Source organism: Homo sapiens, chromosome 2, assembly GCF_000001405.40.
Source record: "Homo sapiens chromosome 2, GRCh38.p14 Primary Assembly".
NCBI lineage: Eukaryota > Metazoa > Chordata > Mammalia > Primates > Hominidae > Homo > Homo sapiens.
Window position 1 is genome coordinate 234,284,827 of NC_000002.12, and position 18,889 is coordinate 234,303,715.

General features: G+C 45.7%; 1 long non-coding RNA gene across 2 annotated transcripts, besides 1 other annotated feature; it reads right to left on the reverse strand.

The window, feature by feature from the left end:
• Window positions 1-525: 525 nt before the first annotated feature.
• On the reverse strand, window positions 526-17,048 carry LOC105373933 (uncharacterized). Of its 2 annotated transcripts, XR_007088124.1 has the most exons (4): window positions 16,770-17,048; window positions 12,523-12,636; window positions 2,187-2,328; window positions 526-983 (listed from the first exon to the last, which is right to left on the reverse strand). It is a non-coding gene; the product is annotated as an uncharacterized LOC105373933 (long non-coding RNA). The 2 variants fall into 2 exon arrangements; XR_923992.3 differs by lacking the exons at window positions 12,523-12,636; window positions 16,770-17,048 and adding an exon at window positions 4,921-5,932.
• Window positions 6,137-6,186: an enhancer, noted in NCBI's record as "active region_17352". NCBI's record gives its function as "activates an Ori minimal core promoter by ATAC-STARR-seq in GM12878 lymphoblastoid cells {active_cell/tissue: GM12878}" and the evidence as "EXISTENCE:reporter gene assay evidence [ECO:0000049][PMID:35858748]".
• Window positions 17,049-18,889: the final 1,841 nt, after the last annotated feature.

The following is an 18,889-nucleotide window of genomic DNA, read 5'->3' on the forward strand; positions in this document are numbered from 1 at the left end:
GAGTGAAAGTCTGTGTATTACAGGCTCATTCCCCCATAAAGACAATCCCATGACCACCTTCCATCACTGCTGCTGTTTGAATGTGTCCCCCAAAGTTCGTGTGTTGGCAACTTAATCTCCAAAGCAACAGTGTTGAGAGGTGGGACCTTTAAGAGGTGATGAGGTCAGGCTGAGCACGGTGGCTCATGCCTGTAATCCCAGCACTTTGGGAGGCCGAGGCGGGCAAATCACGAGGTCAGGAGTTCAAGTTGAGATCAGCCTAGCCAACATGGTGAAACTCCGTCTGTACTAAAAATACAAAAATTAGCCAGGTGTGGTGGTGCATGCCTGTAGTCCCAGCTACTCAGGAGGCTGAGGAATGAGAATTACTTGAACCTGGAGGTGGAGGTTGCAGTGAGCCGAGATAATGCCACTGCACTCCAGCCTGAATGACAGAGCAAGATTCCATCTAAAAAAAAAAAATTTAAATATGAAATCTCAATATTAGCAATCATTCTATTGATTGAAAAAGCAAACTATATACAGTTTTGTGCATAGGGATGTTTATTGCAGCATTGATTTCAAGAGAAAACAAATGGAAAGAATCTAAATGCCTGTGAGTAATGAAATGGCTAAATATAGCATATTTGACCATGAATTATGAGACAACTATTGTCAAAGATGAACTTAATTCTCTATGTTTATAGCTGGAAAAGCATGCAAATATATTATGAAATAAAACAAGTAATTTTCCTGTAAAGAAAAAAAAAAGCAAGAGGAAAAGGGAAAAATGGTGGTAGGCTGACCTACATACGTTCATCCATCCACATCTGTATTTAAGCAAAGAGCATTTACATATGCATAATTTTTGCCCACAAGGATTAGCAGAGTAGTTAAGATCCTGGGCTCTGCAGCTGGTCCTTTGTGTTGGAATTCTGACAGTGGCACTCATTCATTGCAGAACCTTAGGCAGCTTTCAACTTCTCTGTGCCTCAGTTTTCTCACTTGTGAAACAAGAATAAGGATAGTGCTGACCTCAGTGTAGTATTTTGAGGATTAAATGAGCTAAGCTATGTTCCCAGCACCTTGTAAGTGCTGTATGAATGGTTGTACTTATTATTAATTGATTAAATATTCAAGTTATTTATTATTTCAGGAATTACTATTAAGTATTATTTTAATAGGTTGATGAGAGAAGGGGGTAGCTGGCTATTAACTATTTTTTAAATATATTACTACGGTTTTCAAACTTTTTCAATGAATACAATTTACTTTTGTAACTGAAAAAAACCATAAAATGTGGAGAAGAGACCACCAACAGTAGCAAGCATGAGAACGCTTCTGGGAAAAGCTGAGTTCCTAGGCAGATGGATAAATCTGTGGCAGCTTTTGATATTTCTCAAAACAGAGCATTAAAATGAGTCACAGCCTCTCGCATAGCTTTTTATCTTTCCTAAATTGGAATCCTTATCATTCTTACAAAGAATTACCAGCAATAACATGCTCATTTCCTGGCATAATAATTAGAAACCCAAATAAATGAGTATTTTTATTTCCCAAACGCTTGGGCCTGGTATGTGAGCCCTGAGCCACAATTCTTGACTCCAGGGTGACGTGGCCACTGGGGTGGCAGTCAGAGTCAGACCACCCTGACACGACCTCATCTGTGTTATTGGTGATTCACTGCACCTGACAAAACCTCGTCTTGGGCACTCATTCCCTCCTCACAGGAACTGCTGTGAGGATGTAATGACAAGATACATGTGCAACTACTCTTCGCGGGTTGCTTGGCACAGAGAACTCACACAAATACGATAAAGACGATGATGGTGGTGGCTGATTTGCAGGATTGAATGGCATGTCAAAAATAGTAGATGTGGCTAAATAAATAATTGAAAACTCTCATAATTCAAAAACTTCATATAAGAGGAAAAGACAAATGAAACATTTTAAAAGACCTTTAACAAACCACTTTTACATGCCAATACCAGTAGATAGTATGCAAAATAACACTAATAGAAGAAACATACAGTTGGTTGATTAAAGCAGTAGAGAAATGCTTCATCCCCACTCTCCAAACAGCCTTATTGGTAAATTTTTCCAAACCTACCACCTCTTTGCAGCCCATTCCTTAGCTGTCCCCTAAGAGAAGTAGATAATTCTGGCCAGTCCATTTCAGAAAAGTAAACTCTGGGATCTCAGCTCACCTGTCCCCTTTTCTGTTTTGGGAACCACATGCCTGCAGGAGCGATCCACCTCTGCTCCTTTATGCTGAGTCTCCCAGGCAGTTCCCACACCAAGGAAGGCCGAGCCAGCTCTCTGTCCAGCTGTCAGTCCAGCGAAGTCAGCCTGGGATGGAGAGAGGGGGTGTTGCTGAATTCATAACTCATCTAGCAGGCCCAGCTGGCAACCACAGGAGGCTGCAGCCTCTGCCTTTGTTTTATCAAGACTTGAGGTAGTATTTTAGCCCCTTCTGTCCCTCTTCGGCCTTATTTCTGAAATTGCTGGTTCTGTGGGTAGGGAAAGTAACTGCTGTTCATTGGGTTCCTTTAGAGACTTCAGCCACATCTGCAGAAGATACTCAACTGGACTGACAATTAAATAAGGGCACATTAAAACAAAAGTAAGGCCCAGGTGCAGGGGCTGACGCCTGTAATACTAGCACTTTGGGAGGCTGAGGTGGTTGGATCTTCTGAGGTCAGGAGTTCCAGACCAGCCTGGCCAACATGGCAAAAGCCCATCTCTACTAAAAATAATTTTTTAAAAAATTAGCCAGGTATGGTGGTGCATGCTTGTAATCCCAGCTACTCAGGAGGCTGAGGCAAGAGAATCACTTGAATCCAGGACATGGAGGTTGCAGTGAGCAGAGATCGTGCCACTGCACTCCAGCCTGGGCAACAAGAGCAAGATTCTGTCTCAAAGAAAAAAAAGTGAGAGGGTGTTCCCACCTTCCCTGCTGTTCAGGGCAGAACAGGAACAATGGGTACGTTCACACCTGTCCATGGGGAAACCGCTGCTGCTCATCTGGGAGGCAGTGGGGCCATGACCATAGTGAGCTTTAAAACTGTTTGGATCCTTTGACCTCTTGATTTTGCTTCCAGGACTCCACCCCAGCAATCAAGATTCACAAACCACCTTTTCCTTATAGCATGGTTCATAATAGTAAGATTAAAGACAATAGAAATGGCCAATAAAAGAAGAATGACTATATAAATTATGGGCCAGCCACAGAATGAAATGTGATGAGGCTATGCAAAAGAGGGCTTATAGAACATTTCATAACGCTTCCGTAGGTAATGCTATTCAACAACATCGAATATAGCATGATTAGTGAAGTACATATCCAATGGTGCACTTATGATTTGAAAGGAGATGCATGCAAACGCTAATGGGATTTATATCATTTATATCTTGAGAGCTGGATTGAGAGTGATTTTTATTTTGCTTCTGTATTTTTTTTAACATTTTCCACATTACCTGCAAAGAGAACATCCTACTTTGTTTGTTGTCTTTTTTTTTTTTTTTTTTTTTTTTTGAGATGGAGTCTCACTCTGTCACCCAGGCTGGAGTGCAATGGCATCATCTTGGCTCACTGCAACCTCTGCCTCCTGGCTTCAAGTGATTCTCCTGCCTCAGCCTCCTGAGTAGCTGGGATTATAGGCGCCTGCCACCAAGACTGGCTAATTTTTGTATTTTTAGTAGAGACCGGGTTTCGCCATGTTGGCCAGACTGGTCTTGAACTCTTGACCTCAGGTGATCCACCTGCCTTGGCCTCCCAAAGTGCTGGGATTACAGGCGTGAGCCACTGCGCCCAGCCCATGCTGCTTTTTAAGAAAGAAAAATCATAAAACACTTTACAATTAACACCATGTGAAATAAGGCCTGTAGAAACACAGAAGATAGAGTTGTGGGCCTAGGCTTATTCCTTGGCCTGCCGGGCGGGGAAGGACATCTGAACACTAAAAGGTTCACCTATAAGAAAGAGGAAAAGTGTCCCAGCAGGAGAAACGGCCTGTGGGGAACACATAGAGATGCGGTGTGAGAGGCAGCTGCCTGGGAGAATTGTTCTCCCATCCCTGTTGCGGCAAAATGTTGCTTACAGGCTCAGACACGTGATGCTCTCTCCACGGTCAGGATCTACCTACTAGAAGCTCCTGTTTCACCTGTGCCCTAATTACAGCCACCCCCGCGCCCTTCTCCACCATCACCTGAGTCAAGTGCCTACACCTCTCTGTTCCCTACGTTAGGGCCCACGACCAGCTGAGCCTAACATCAAAAGTTCCCTCTGTGACCAGAAGAGGGCGCGGTGGTGCAGGATGGGCGTCCCAGGAAGGCCAGGACTTAGGTTCAAATTCCCGTTTTGTCCATTCCTGTAACCTGTGAAGTTCACGTGGGTAACATGCGTGTGACAACACCTCATCACGGGGTTCTTGCGAAATCAAATACAACAGTGACATACAAATGGCTTGCAAGCTGAACTCCTGTGACTCTGAGGGATTACCAACTTCTGTCAATACTTTATTCAGTGTTGAACCCCCAGGTGATGCGTGGCTCACTTTACCTGAACCTTCACCTCCCAGAGAGGTCTTGGCATCTGCCTGCTTGTAGGGACTGTGGCCCCTGTCCATGCCCTGCTCCTGCCCTTTGAGTTCCAGGGTCTGTCTGCTGTAAAAGCCTGCTGGACTCTGCTCCTGACTCAGTTTGACCAGCTGGCTGGGCTCTGGTGTGGCCCACAGCCTAGGAGGAAGGATGTTGTGTCCCGGCCAGGTGCTCATGGGCTCAGTGAGCAGCACTTTGAACTCTAGGCGCAGTAACAAGGGCCTCCCTCATGACCCCTCATGACCAAATGAACCCTCGACTCTGGGGAGTGGTCCTCATCTTGCCACTCTATGCCTTTATACCCAGACCCAAATTTCCTCCAGGGCAGTGGTCTGTTCTTACCTGCCTTTCCAAATGCCAGTCTTCCACCCTAAATTCCAGTGTCCATGGATGGGGACCCATCACTGCTGTCCAGGTTCCGAGTCACCCTCCTGCCTCCATTTTCACCACATACCCAGCCCAGCCCAAGAGATGGGACCTCTCTGATGGGAGCTCTCAGGCCTTTGCTTTGACTCTGACTCAGAGCCTCCCCGGACAGTGGTGCAGTGTGTGCACTGCTCACCCCCAGGCAGTGTTGCTCATACTTCAGTCTATAAAAAGCAAGGCAAGGCCTGAACAGCTGCAAACAGCAGCCCTGCTAGGGCATAGCTTTCCAGCTGTGATCCAGGCATGTGGCCCTGGCTGCTTCATGAAAGGCCCTGGATCTGAGCCCTGGCCTGGCCTCTTCCAGATGTAAGATGGGGAAGAGCTCAGAATCTCTCTGAACCTCCATTTCCTTAACTGTAAAGTGAGGGGCTGGATTGCTTGATTTCTAAGCTCAATTATCTAGACATGCCAAAATGTACTATCTACCTGATTCTAGAATCTCTCAAACCTGCCCTAATCTGCCTGTACCAATGGGCTCTGGAGAATGTCCTGATGTCACCAGATTCATGCCTGAGATGAAAGCCTTAGGATTCAAGAGCCCAGCTCTGTCCTTCTCCAATGCAGCCTCAAACCTCCTGCTGTTCCTGGCCCCGTGCTAGCATCCCCTTCCCACCATCACAGGATACCCTAAAGGCCCTGATAACAGACATTTCCATATTACTGGGCTCACGCCTTCATGGTGGACCTCCTGGAGGTGGGCATAGCCCATGCCCAGGTAGAGAGGAGCAGGAAGGCATGGGCATGTTTGGGGAGGTTGAGAGAGACCAACCTGGCTGCATCAGATAGAGAGCACCAGTGGCTGGTCTGGCTAGGAATCCAGGTCGGGGCCCTAGAGTGGCCACATTTACTTGCTTTTGCTAAGGTAATTTCAGGTTTGGTAAGGCAATGAGTGAAGATCTGTTGGGCAGGTGGTCTCTTGGTGCCCTGTAATCACGTACTTGAGTCTGCCTCCCTCATCTCACCCCAGTGGTGACTCATAAATCAACACCAAAGCCAGTTACGCTGCCATCCGGCAGAACTCGTGCCCCAGACACCTTGGGAGGAAGTGGAGCCAGAAGTGAGAACACTCTCTGAGGGTGAAAAAACTCCAACAGTTCTTCTGTTCTCACGCCGCGCCACAACAATCAACACAGAAGGCTTCTACGACCAAATGTGTGGGGATTTCTCCCCACCACCGAGCAAACTGCCCAGACATGGACACCGGCATGAACTGGGGGTCCTCCAGTTAAGTTCTGACACTCTCTACCTGGAGACAGCGTCAGATCCCAGGGGTTGGGGGCTTAGTCCCCCAAGACCACCCCTGACCTTCAGACATCACTCACTAGTACAGGCCTCGGGAACTTCTGACAACCAGCTATAAATTGATAAAGACCCCCTCTTTATTAATTTGCTAGGGTGGCTCGCAGAACTCGGGGAAACCCTTAGGTTTACCATAAAGGATGTTACAAAGGATACAGATGAAGAGATGGATAGGCGAGGTATAGGGGAAGGGGTGCGGAGCTTCCATGCTCTCCCTGAGTGTGACTCTCTCCGGGAACCTCCATGGGTTCAGCTACCTAGAAATTCTTAGAACTGTGTCCTTTTGGGTTTTCATGGAAGCTTTGTGACATAGGCAGGATTGGCCATTGATGGTCAACTTAACCTTCAGCTTTTCTCCCCTCCCTGGAGTTCAGGGTGGGGCTGAAAATCTCAACCCTCTAATCCTGCCTTGGTCTTTCCAATGACCAGCCTCACCCTGAAGCTACCTAGGGGCTGCCAGCCATCAGCCAACTCATCAGCATTCAAAAGTACATCACTTTGGAGATTCTAAGGATTTTAGGAGGTGTATGTCAGGAAATGGATTCAAAGGCCAAATATTTATCTCATAATATCACACTCCTAAACTCATAGGACACTGGCAAGGACACCAAGCTCAACTCCTCCCCATTTCTGAATCCCTGGGCTCCATGCTGCGCCTATGGCTGCTGCACAGTTGTTCTGAAGGGGCCCTGGCCTGCATGTGCCTGATGCACACAGCTGGAGGGTGTCCTGCAGAGATGGGACCATTAGCTGGCAGGCATGTGTGGTGGAGGGGACAGGGGAGCACGTGCCATAGTTCGATTTATTTTTAGGTATGTGGGAGTCACTAAAGGCAGTAAGCAAGGGTGTGATGTAATCAATTGTGCATTTTAAAGTGATTGCTCCAGCTGCCTGTGGAGAATGGATTGGAGAAGGGCCAAAGGGCACTCAGGGGCGTCAGCTGGGAGGCTGTGCTACAGTTCCCAGGAAGGATGTGGCTGCAACAGTGACAGAAAACACATAAACAGGGCAATGGACTATAGGGTGTTCGTGCAACCAGACACACCCAGCCAAGAGTATCTCACCTCCTGCAGGTCAGATGCAGACACCCTCTAACCACTGGCATTTTGGCCTCTGGAATGAGCCTGGTGGTGATAAAGTCTGGAGGGCCACAGGTGACCATATGAGCCACAGGATGCCTCAAGACCAGAGACATCCTCGCAGAATCAACAAGAGGAGAGCAAAGGACAGGAAGAGACTCAGGCAAAACTTTTGTCTGCACAACCAATTCCCATCTTCACCACCTGAACGCCACCCCAGATGACATATATGGGGCTGCTTTTGCCATCCACATGGCTAGGACAGTGTATCTGTAGTTGTCAACAACAATCAGAGGACCATATCAATTAAACCAGGAACTTTTCCATGTCGTTTCGACTGAATCATATAAAGGTAGACAACATCGCACTATGTTGGTGCACAGAGCACTCTGAAATGATTCATTTTTCGCTCCTTTGAGGCGAAGGCAAACCTACAAGCAGAACAAACCGCATCCGGAGAGGAAGTGATAAAGCTCAGAGGAGCAGCAAGAATAACCATGGCGACAATCTTGCAATTTAGAGGCTGCAAATAAGAGAGATATTTACTTTGGAAATGCAACTGAAAAAAAGAAAAGCTGCAATGACAACAGCATAGCAACAATCTTCTCCTCTGGGCTCAATGAAAAAGAAATGACAAGACAATGAACCATCTCCAGGGGCTGTATGTAAATCCAAGATTTCCTTTTGACATAACAGTGTGAAAGATCATCAGTGAGGAAGGTGAATCATTCAGGCTTTTAAAATAGCTTTTTATTTTGAGATCTTGTAGATTCACCTGCAGTTGTAAGAAATATTATATTCTGTGTACTCTTCACCCAGTTTCCCCCAGTGATAACACTTTGCATGAGGAAATTGACATTGAAACAATGGTTCAGTTTTGAGGAAGTATCAGATATCAAAGAGATACTTTGTCATGTTTGGATAAAAATGTAACACTTCTGTATTAAAAAAAAAAAACTAAAATTACAAGAAAACCAAACAGGAAAAAAAAAAAGCTTTTTTATTAATCCTAGCAAGGAGTTTATTCTATACAATGCGTATGTTCACATTTACAAGAAAAACAGTGGCCTTTGAAAATATTTTGATGGCCTGTAGAGTTATAACCAGAATCACTGCAATGCAGTAATATTTAAAGAAATGTATGAGGCAACACTGGATGAATTTACTGATTGAGATGTCATTGTTTTGAGGAATTATTGTTTGTGGCCTTTCTGAAATCCTCCATCACTACCTTTTACATTCAGGAACTCATCAGGCCCTTCCAGCATTACATTATAAGAAATATAGTGTATCATGCCTGTAATTCCAGCACTTTGGGAGGCCGAGGCAGGTGGATCACCTGAGATCAGGAGTTCAAGATCAGCCTGATCAACAGGGTGAAACCTCATCTCTACTAAAAATACAAAAAAAATTAGCCAGGCATGGTGGTGGGTGCCTGTAATCCCAGTTACTCAGGAGGCTGAGGCAGGAGAATCACTTGAACCCGAGAGGCAGAGGTTGCAGTTAGCTGAGATCATACCACCGAACTCCAGCCTGAGCAACAAGAGCTAAAACTGTCTTTAAAAAAAAAAAGAAAGAAAGAAATATAGTGTATCTTTTTCCTGATTCATTCATTCAACAAATATTTATATACTACTATTGGCCCACTATTTTCTTTAGGGGAAAACAGGAATGGCCCCCCCAGAAAGCCCTCTGGGGAGCTGAAATTCTAATCCATTATTGGTTTTGTCTCAACTATAATTGCCCTTGTTTAGAATTTCATCATCTTCCAGAGGAGTCGCCCTCTGTACAGTCTTTCCCCACCCCTCAGTTTATTCTCTGCATTGCTGATCCTTCCTCAACAGACACTGCTAATTATGTCAGGTTTAGGGTCAAAATCCTTCCCGAGTTTCTATCACTCACGCCCCCGACTTCCACAGGGGGCAGTTCTGAGCTCCTCTGTGGCTCTTAGTCATCCATCCCCTACCTTCCTGTGTACCTCCTCATTCATCCACCTTCTTCTCTGCCCACACAGCTGGCCCAGGCTTCCTGTCCAGGTGCATGGTCCTCCTGTGCCAGGGGATGAGTTGGGGGCTGGGTTGGGAGGGCTCCTCTTGCCTTTCTGCCTGAAGAAGCCCTACTCATTAACCTTTAAGTCTAAACATGACCTCTTCTGTTGAATAAAATATAGAAAATTCCATTTAGTGGGAGATTGCATGGAGATCACCAAATAACTATCTATTGATTGGATTAATGTGCTGTCATTCTATTATGAACAAAGTGATATGTTTGTTTGTTTCAGCATTGTATCTTAATGCCTGTGATGCTGTGACAATGTAGCAACAGTGATTTCTTTGGAGTGGTGCGTGGAATCCACTTAGCACTTTGTGTTATTAATCTTTTTTTTTTTTTTTTGCTGAAAATAAAAGTCATTGTAAAAAATTTAAAAATTAGAAAAAAAATATGGAAAAGAAAACACCAAATATCCAGCGTGTAATATTGCAAGGTTTGGGCATATTAATATTTTCTTCCCTTTTCCCAGTACTTTTATTTACTCTACGTTGATTACATATACAATTTAAACTTTTGTGGTTGTTTCCACTTAAAGTATATTAAAATGTTTTAAGCATTTGACACAAGCTGCCAAATGGATTTTCAAATGGATTGTAAAATTTTATTTTCCCAAATCATTAGATATGAAAATGTATGGCTTTCCTACCACATCTTCATAATAGCTAGCATTAATTACTAGTTGAAGAGGCAAAATTTGGTATATTTTCTTCACCTTTGTTTTTCTTTGAGTCTTAGGAAGGTTGACTAAATTGTCATTTCCTTTTTTTTTTTTTTGAGACAGAGTTGCACTCTTGTTGCCCAGGCTGGAGTGCAATGGCACAATCTCGGCTCACTGCAACCTCTGCCTCCTGGGTTCAAGTGATTCTCCTGTCTCAGCCTCCTGAGTAGCTGGGATTACAGGTGTCCACCACCACACCCGGCTAATTTTTGGTATTTTTAGTAGAGATGGGGTTTCACCATGTTGGCCAGGCTGGTCTGGAACTCCTGACCTCAGGTGATCTGCCCGCCTCAGCCTCTCAAAGTGCTAGGATTATAGGTGTGAGCCACCACGCCCGCCCAATTGTCATTTCTTTATAACGTGTTTATATTTCATCTTTCTGAGTTTCCTAAACTTTTTATTTGCCACTTTACTTAATGGAATATTCTAGGTTTTCTCATTGATTCATATGAATGATTTATTTGCTAACACTCTAAGTCCTTTCTCAATTTTATTGAGGGAAGAGTGAGGTTTTTATAAGCCCATAATTTGCCTTTCATTTATTTTGTAATGCTTGATGTATAATTTTTGTGTGTACTCAAATCTATTCATCTTTTTCTTTTTAATGCCTTCCACTACTAAGCTCAGAAAATCTTTACTCCATCCAGAGACCAAGGAGTTATTCTCTCTTAATTTTTTCTATTTTAAAAAATAACTGAGCTCGAAGACAGAGCGAGACTCTGTCTCAAAAAAAAAAAAAGAAATAAATAACTCAGTTCTATTCAATCTGCACTTTATTTTGGTGTGTAATAAAGTCAACGTGGATACTTCCCCTCAAAATCTTGCTCGTCATCCTTGATGGAGAAATCTTTCATTTCTGCATTCATTAGTGACGCCTCTTTTAACATGTGTTAGATACTGAGCAGGTTTTTTTTTGGGGGATGTTGTTTTTGTTTTGTTGTTGTTTGAGATGGAGTCTCACTCTGTCGCCCAGGCTAGAGTGCAGTGGCACGATCTCGGCTCACTGCAACCTCTGCCTCCCGGGTTCAGGCGATTCTTGTGCCTCAGCCTCCCGAGTGGCTGGTACTGCAGGCACATGCCACCATGCCTAGCTAATTTTTGTATTTTTAGTAGAGACAGGGTTTTGCCATGTTGGCCAGGATGGTCTTGATCTCTTGAGTTTAGGTGATCTGCCTACCGCAGCCTCCCAAAGTGCTGGGATTACAGGCGTGAGCCACCGTGCCCAGCCAATACTGAGCAGTTTTTACTGAACAGTCCACTGTTCATTCCATGCAATGCATGACTCTTCTGATGAGCAGCCTTTGCCTGGGAAACCCTGACCATCCAAGACTGTGGTCTAAGGCTCTTTCTACCCACTCCTTCCTTCCCTCTCACCTGCCAAAGGAGTCAGACTTGTCTCAAGATCTGAAGGCGCTCTCTGCCTCCTCCTGTCTGCCCCCTCTATCCTCCACTGACATCTTGTCCAATAAATCTCATGTGCATCTCATTCCAATCTTGAGTTCTGCTTCTCAGAGGACTCAGACTGATGCACCAACTTTGCTCCAGTTTGTGGAGTTTGGAGCCTTGGTTTATGCGCCCTGTTATGCACTCCAGGATCTCAGGCAAGCCACTGGCATTCAAGGCAAGAAAGCATGTTCATTTCCAAATAGGGGCCCATGGCTTGCGTTGGCAGTCCTATGCCTGCACTCACACACCATCCCACTCTGTCGCCCCAAAGGGCAGTTTAGCAAAACCCAAACTTCAAATTTGAACGACTTATTCAAACTAGTATTTCCTAAGGAGATGCTAGGTCTCCTCTCACCCCACCATTCCCTGCAACCTGGCACAGCCACACGTGGGGAAGAGATGGTCCACATCGTGGCTGCCGTTCACAGAGGGGCAGCCCCCGCCAAGTCATGCAGACACTGCCCTGTGAGGGGCAGTGCAAATCTCAGGGGGTAGAGTCCTCATTGACCTGGTCGATGAGGACCCAGGCTTTGATGTTTAACCCATTGCCTGTTTAACGGTGCCCACACTGAGACAGAAACAATCAAATCTGCAGAGAGTCAGCAACAAGACCAGGACAGGCAGACACATCTAAAATGAATCCCCCAAGAGTCCCCAGTATCCCCTGCTCAGACATATGGAAGGGAAGAGAGGAAAGGGATTTTTTTATCTCTGCTTTGACTTAATAAATACTCTTAATCTCCCAGGATGAACAACAAGGCTTGTGTAGGTTACAGAGTTAGAGATTCTAAGCTTGAGGATATCCAGCATTTAGAGGCAATTTCATAAAAGGCACAGCAATGTTTAAAAAAAAAAAGACTTGAAAATGGTATGGGGCTGTTTGGTTTTTATATCTTTGGGTTGATAGAATGCCTGGATACTTACGGAATGCCTGCAAGCCCTTGAAGATGCACATATAACTTCAGGGTCCATGAGATTCTCAAGTTTATCTGTGGAGGCCTTTGGGAGTCTATGGATCCTGATTTCCTGATCTGAAACCTGTGTCTATGAAAATATATCCAAGATATTTTGTTATGTGAAAACAAAATACGTCGCAGGCAGTACATACAGCTTGATCCATTTTTCTTTTTCTTTCTTTCTTTCTCTCTCTCTTTCTTTCTTTCTCTTTCTCTCTCTTTCTTTCTTTCTTTCTTTCTTTCTTTCTTTCTTTCTTTCTTTCTTTCTTTCTTTCTTTCTTTCTCTCTCTCTTTCTTTCTTCCTTTCTTTCTTTTTGAGACGGAGTCTTGCTCTGTCACCCAGGCTGGAGTGCAGTGGCCCTATCTCGGCTCACTGCAAGCTCCGCCTCCCAGGTTCACGCCATTCTCCTGCCTCAGCCTCCCGAGTAGCTGGGACTACAGGCGTCCACCACCATGCCCAGCTAATTTTTTGTATTTTTTTTTTTAGTAGAGACGGGGTTTCACCGTGTTAGCCAGGATAGTATCGATCTCCTGACCTTGTGATCCACCTGCCTCAGCCTCCCAAAGTGCTGGGATTGCAGGCGTGAGTCACTGTGCCCAGCTGATCCATTTTTCTTTCAATATTATGTGTATAAATCAAAGCTCACTTTTGGAGGAATTGAGATTAAGGGGTCAAAAGATTTCTTTTGCCTTAAAAAATATATATACTGCACTCCTAAACTGTTTGAAGTATATTAAATAGCAAATATGTTACTTTTTAAATAAGTGTCTAAACAAGTGAACTTGTTGAAAAGAAAGAAGTATTTTCTGGCCGGGCACAGTGGCTCACGCCTGTAATCCCAGCACTTTGGGAGGTCGAGGCGGGTGGATCATGAGGTCAGGAGATCGAGACCATCCTGGCCAACATGGGGAAACACCGTCTCTACTAAAAATACAAAAAATTAGCTAGGCGTGGTGGCGGGTGCCTGTAATCCCAGCTACTCGGGAGGCTGAAGCAGGAGAATCTCTTGAACCTGGGAGGCAGAGGTTGCAGCGAGCCGAGATGGCACCATTGCACTCCAGCCTGGGCAATAGAGCAAGATTCTCAAAAAAAAAAAAAAAAAAAAAGTATTTTCCAACAAATCATAACTCTGACCTAATCTTATATCTTTCATGACATAAAGCAGTGGACTAAAGCAGCCACTGTGTCTCTAATTCTCAACCATTCAGCCCAGAGCAAACAGACTGGCTGCAGACATCTGTCCACCGTGACTTCCAACGCTCCTTCCACACTCAGCTCTTCATCTGCTCTGTAACTGCTTCTTCCTCAAGGGCCACTGCTTGGCCACCTACCTCACCGGCTGACATGGCCGAGGACGGTTGAATGTCAGGAGGGCCTCTGCTTTACAGAGCTGGGATTCCCTGGGACACTCTGAAGTCCTGTCCTGTCACCAAGACACTCCCTGGGCCACTCTGAAGTCCTGTCCTGTCACCAAGACACTCAATTTCTCAGCAGCAAAAGCCCCTGCCTGTTGTTGAAGACTCATTTCTTCATTCAGTACTTATTAATTCGAACATTTAATCAGCATATATTTATAAAGTACCTAATGAATAGGAAGTTCTGTAGAAACAGAAATTAGCTGTAAAAGGTAAATAGAAAATCCATCCAGCTACAAATGAAGAAAGCCTGCTCCTGACAGCCACTGTACTAACAATTCTAGGAAAAGGGGTGTTTCTCACTAGAAGTCAAAGAAATGCAAATTGAAATAACGATGAGTTGACATTTTCGTTTGTCAACCATTAAAATAAAGTTATAAAACTCAATGCCAGTGAAGGTATGATAAGTTAGGCTAGCAATTTCTATTCACTGTGGGAGACCAGGTATCAATTCTGGTGTGGCAGGCTAACTCAGTAAGATATTAATTTGTATTTTGCTCCCTCTGTATTTTTTTCTTTCTCCTTCAAATAAGGTAGCCAGACTGTATTGGTGTGTCACAAATTACCACCAAAACAGCCACATAAGACAAAACCCATATATTAGCTCACAGATTTGTTGGTCAGAAGCCCAGGTAGGGCTCAGCTCTGTTCTCTGCTCAGGGTTGTACAAGACTGAGTTCAGGGCCGGGCGAGGTGGCTCACGCCTGTAATCCCAGCACTTTGGGAGGCTGAGGTGGGTGGATCACGAGGTCAGGAGATAAAGACCATCCTGGCTAACATGGTGAAACCTTGTATCTACTAAAAATACAAAAAAATTAGCCGGGTGTGGTGGCGGGTGCCTGTAATCCCAGCTACTCGGGAGGCTGAGGCAGGAGAATGGTGTGAACCTGGGAGGCTGAGCTTGCCTCACTGAGCTTGCAGTGAGCTGAGACCACGCCACTGCACTTCAGCCTGGGCAAGGAGTGAGACTCTGTTTCAAAAAAAAAAAAAAAAAAAAAAAAGACTGAGATCAGGGTGTCTGCCATCTTCAACTCACACATGCGGCCCTGGGAGAGAATCTACTTCCAAGCTCATTAAGGTTCTTGGCAGAACTTCCTTCCTTGTGCTGCAGGACTGAGGCCCCTGTTTCCCTGAGGACTGTCAGCCAGGGGCCACCCTCAGCTCCTAGAGGCTGCCGTTTCCTTGTCCTGTGACCCCTCAGTCTCCAAAGCCAGCATTTGATGTCCCTCGACTGAAGTCAAGGCACATGAGGGGTTTATGATCTAAACCCAAAATATTGTGTCAGCACGGAGGCCCTGACTGGGCCCTGCTGAGAGCTGGAGCTATCATTGAACCCCTGTCTCCAAGATGGTCCCAGTCTTCTGTAAGGGTGCAACTGATATTGGGTCAGCCCAATTGTTGAAAGTAAATAAAATAATGTAATGAAATAAATAGTAACACAGCTTTGGCATGATATTTGCACAGTGTTTTTGTGGCAGTAGGTGAGTGACATGCTGACTTTCCTACGGCTAAAAGCAGTGTAGCCTGGCCCTAAATCGCTTGACCTAGATATGAAGCTGGTGAAGACAGCAGCAAGAGGATTTTTAGAAACATGAAGGTGAGGGATGGTTGTTGTTTCTTTGTCCCTCTGCCTATCTCTTGAAGGTTAGTGCCATTTGTCTCTCAGCTTCTCCTACACACACACACACACACACAACACACACCCCATTACACTAACAGAAAGGCAAAGATGGCAACTTGCCTGGCAACCTTTGAAAGGTTTCTGGTGCCTGCTTTAAAACCTGAAAGCCCCGTGCAAGCAAAGCAGAAGTGCAGCAGTTTTAATGTGCTGTGGCCAGAGATGCTAAACTCACATCACCAAGATGTGGAGATGCGGAGAAAAGGGAAGGTCTGGAGGCTGCGTCCCTTGCAGAAGGACAGGACCCAGCTGTCAAGGCAATTAGGCTAAAGGACTGCACCTCCTCACTTCTGCCGGAGAGAAAGGACCAAGCTGTCCACCGGATGCTGGCATCAGGCTCTGGTTCCCAGCAAATGTCACAGCAAGAAAATGGGGGTATTTTGATTTTGGACTTTGGCAACCCCCCTCCTGAGAGCATAGTGCCTTAACATCTACTTCTGCGTCAGCCCTCTGCTTAGGGGTCCTGCTTCTGGTTCTCTCTTTGCTTCTGCTCCATTCGGCACACCCCTACACCCATCTGCCCACCCCCTCAGATGTATGCATGCACACACTCACACGTACACATGCACTAAGTCAGACAGTCACCATGGGAAAACCCATAGACATGTACATGCACATACTTACACACACATGGTCACACACCGGCAGACACACTCAGATGCATGCACATACTTACACATAGTCACACACCTGCAGACACATGCATACACATACACGTATACACACTCATATAAACATAAACACACACCCTCAAACACAAAGACACTCGTGCTCACATAGGCACACATGTACTCAAATGGATACACTTGCACACAACTTCTTGGCAGAAATTCCAGCTCACAATGTCCTGCCAGCCATACGGGTGGATTTTCTTTCCAATTCTTCTTTGACCCTCCCTCTGTTTTCCTTTGAAGTCAGGTAATTATAGTTCTTAAGAAGTAAAAATTGCCAAACAGCCATAGCAACAGAGGCCTGGCAAGGAAGGACAGCTCCAGCTCTCAGCAGGGCCCAGCCGGGGCCTCCGTGCTGACACAATATTTTGGGTTTAGATCATAAACCCCTCATGTGCCTTCGTTTTCTTTCCTTACACTCCTTTTCCCTCAAAAGCACCTTTTCTTTACCTGCCAGATTCTTTGATTGTCTTTGTGGTGCTGAAAGCCGAGTGAGTCCCACTTCCCGTGGCTGCACAGACGCCGTGGGCTCAGAAGCCCTGCAGGCTGGTAGCCAGACTCCCTTCCCCAGGCACGAACTCAGCACATCTCCTGCACAGCCGCCTTCTGTCGGGGGTGACATCTCTGCCCCCTAGGTTTCCCACAGCGTCTGGATGCAGTCCACAGCTCCGGTGGCACCAGTTTGGGTCCTGGCTTTTAACCTCCCTCTTGCTGGAAGGGGTCAGAGGGGACAGAAGTTATCCTCAGTGCTCTAGCTGAATCCTACTTCACTTGGAAAGAGAAATTTAAACAATTGCGGGTGGTTTTATACAAAATGTTTCTTTATAAACACAAGAATGGGCTGGGTGCCACGGCTCACGCCTGTAATCCCAGCACTTTGGGAGGCTGAGGCAAACAGATCACTTGAGGTCAGGAGTTCAAGACCAGCTTGGACCACGTGGCAAAACCCCACCTCCACTAAAAATACAAACATTAGCCAGGCGTGGTGGTGGGTGCCTGTAAGCCCAGCTACTTGGGAGGCTGAGGCAGGAGAACTGCCTGAACCTGGGACTCAGGGTTTGCAATGAGCTGAGACTGTACCACCGCATTCCAGTCTGGGTGACACAGCAAGACTCCATCTCAAAAAACAAAACAACAAACCACAGGCAAGAGTGAAGTCAGGGAAGCACCCATGTCCTTAGGCAAGTCTAGCACAGGTTTGCAAGAGTAGTAAATTGGGTGTCCCTATGAAGCCAATCCTTGCAGGGACCAAGCGCCCCAGAGGCTGGTTTCTCTAATGCCTGTGATTTGGGGGGCCTGGTACATTATTGTGCATTTTGCAGAGGCAGCTATCACGTGATGAGGAGGTGGCACTAGGGAGAGGTGCACACACCAGGGACCAAGTCTTTCCTTCCAGGGACTCATCCAGGCTGTGCATGACTGACCTGCCTCCCACTGTCATATGGCTTTGGTACAAAGCCACTCACAAACAAACCTCCCTTGCCTCCCTGGCACCTCTTCCCTCTCATTTCAGAGCCCCTGAATCCCTACTCAGTAAGACAGCTGGTCTAGTTTAACGCTCACTATTTCAAATCTTATTCCATCCAAGCACCCCAGGACTGAGCGGGGCCAGTGTGTGCTGGGATCTGGCCCCCACCCCCCCTGGCTCCTTCATGCAGGCACCAGGCTGGCTGGTGGAGGTGAATGCACCCAGAGCCTCCAAGCCCTCTTCCAGCAGATCCTATCACTAGGCACCACTGCTCTGTCCTCACCCTCATCATGGGCACGGCTGCTTGTAACCTGGGAATAAACCACCTAAACATCTCCTTATTAAAAATCCTAAAATTCCCTAGCTTGAAACTCACGACTCCCAATTAACCTAGTCTAGTAATGGGTGCCTCCCAGATGTCTATTTTAAGAGTGATCTCTGGGGCCCGAACCAGACAGGCAGGTGAGGTGCCCAGAACACAGAATCTAAAGATATTGTATCAACGTCAGTATCCTGACCATGCTATTGTACTGTAGCGTTGCTAGAGTTTCATTGGGGGAACTGAGTAACAGGTGCATAGGGTCTCACTGTATTTCTTAGAACTTTTTATGAATCTACAATGACCTCAAAAAAGTTTAATAAAAATTAAAAAGCAGCCATAGGCACAAAGTGTTGCTTTGCATATTGTGGTAAGCCTGCATTGCATTTATCTTTCTGTTTTGGATTTTCTTTATCTCATCTCCTTAGATGAGTGATCTTGCGTTTTCCCAAGTTGTGACCTGGGGTTCCCTGAGGAGGTTGATTCTAGTAATTGCCCACTGGTTATGCCTGCTCCAAACACAGGTAACAGGCACCCTAATGTGGTTTTCTGTTCAAAGTCTCCCTAGCTCCCCTCTATCAGGTATGGAGTCTGAAAAGCTTTTCTGGGTCATTTGTTCCTTCAGCAAACATGGACTGAGCACTGATGTGTGGTCACTCATGGTGTTAAACCTTCAGGGCTGGATGGCTGGCTTTTTTTTTTTTTTTTTGACAGAGTCTTGCTCTGTCGCCCAGGCTGGAGTGCAGTGGCGCAATCTTGGCTCACTGCAAGCTCCGCCTCCCA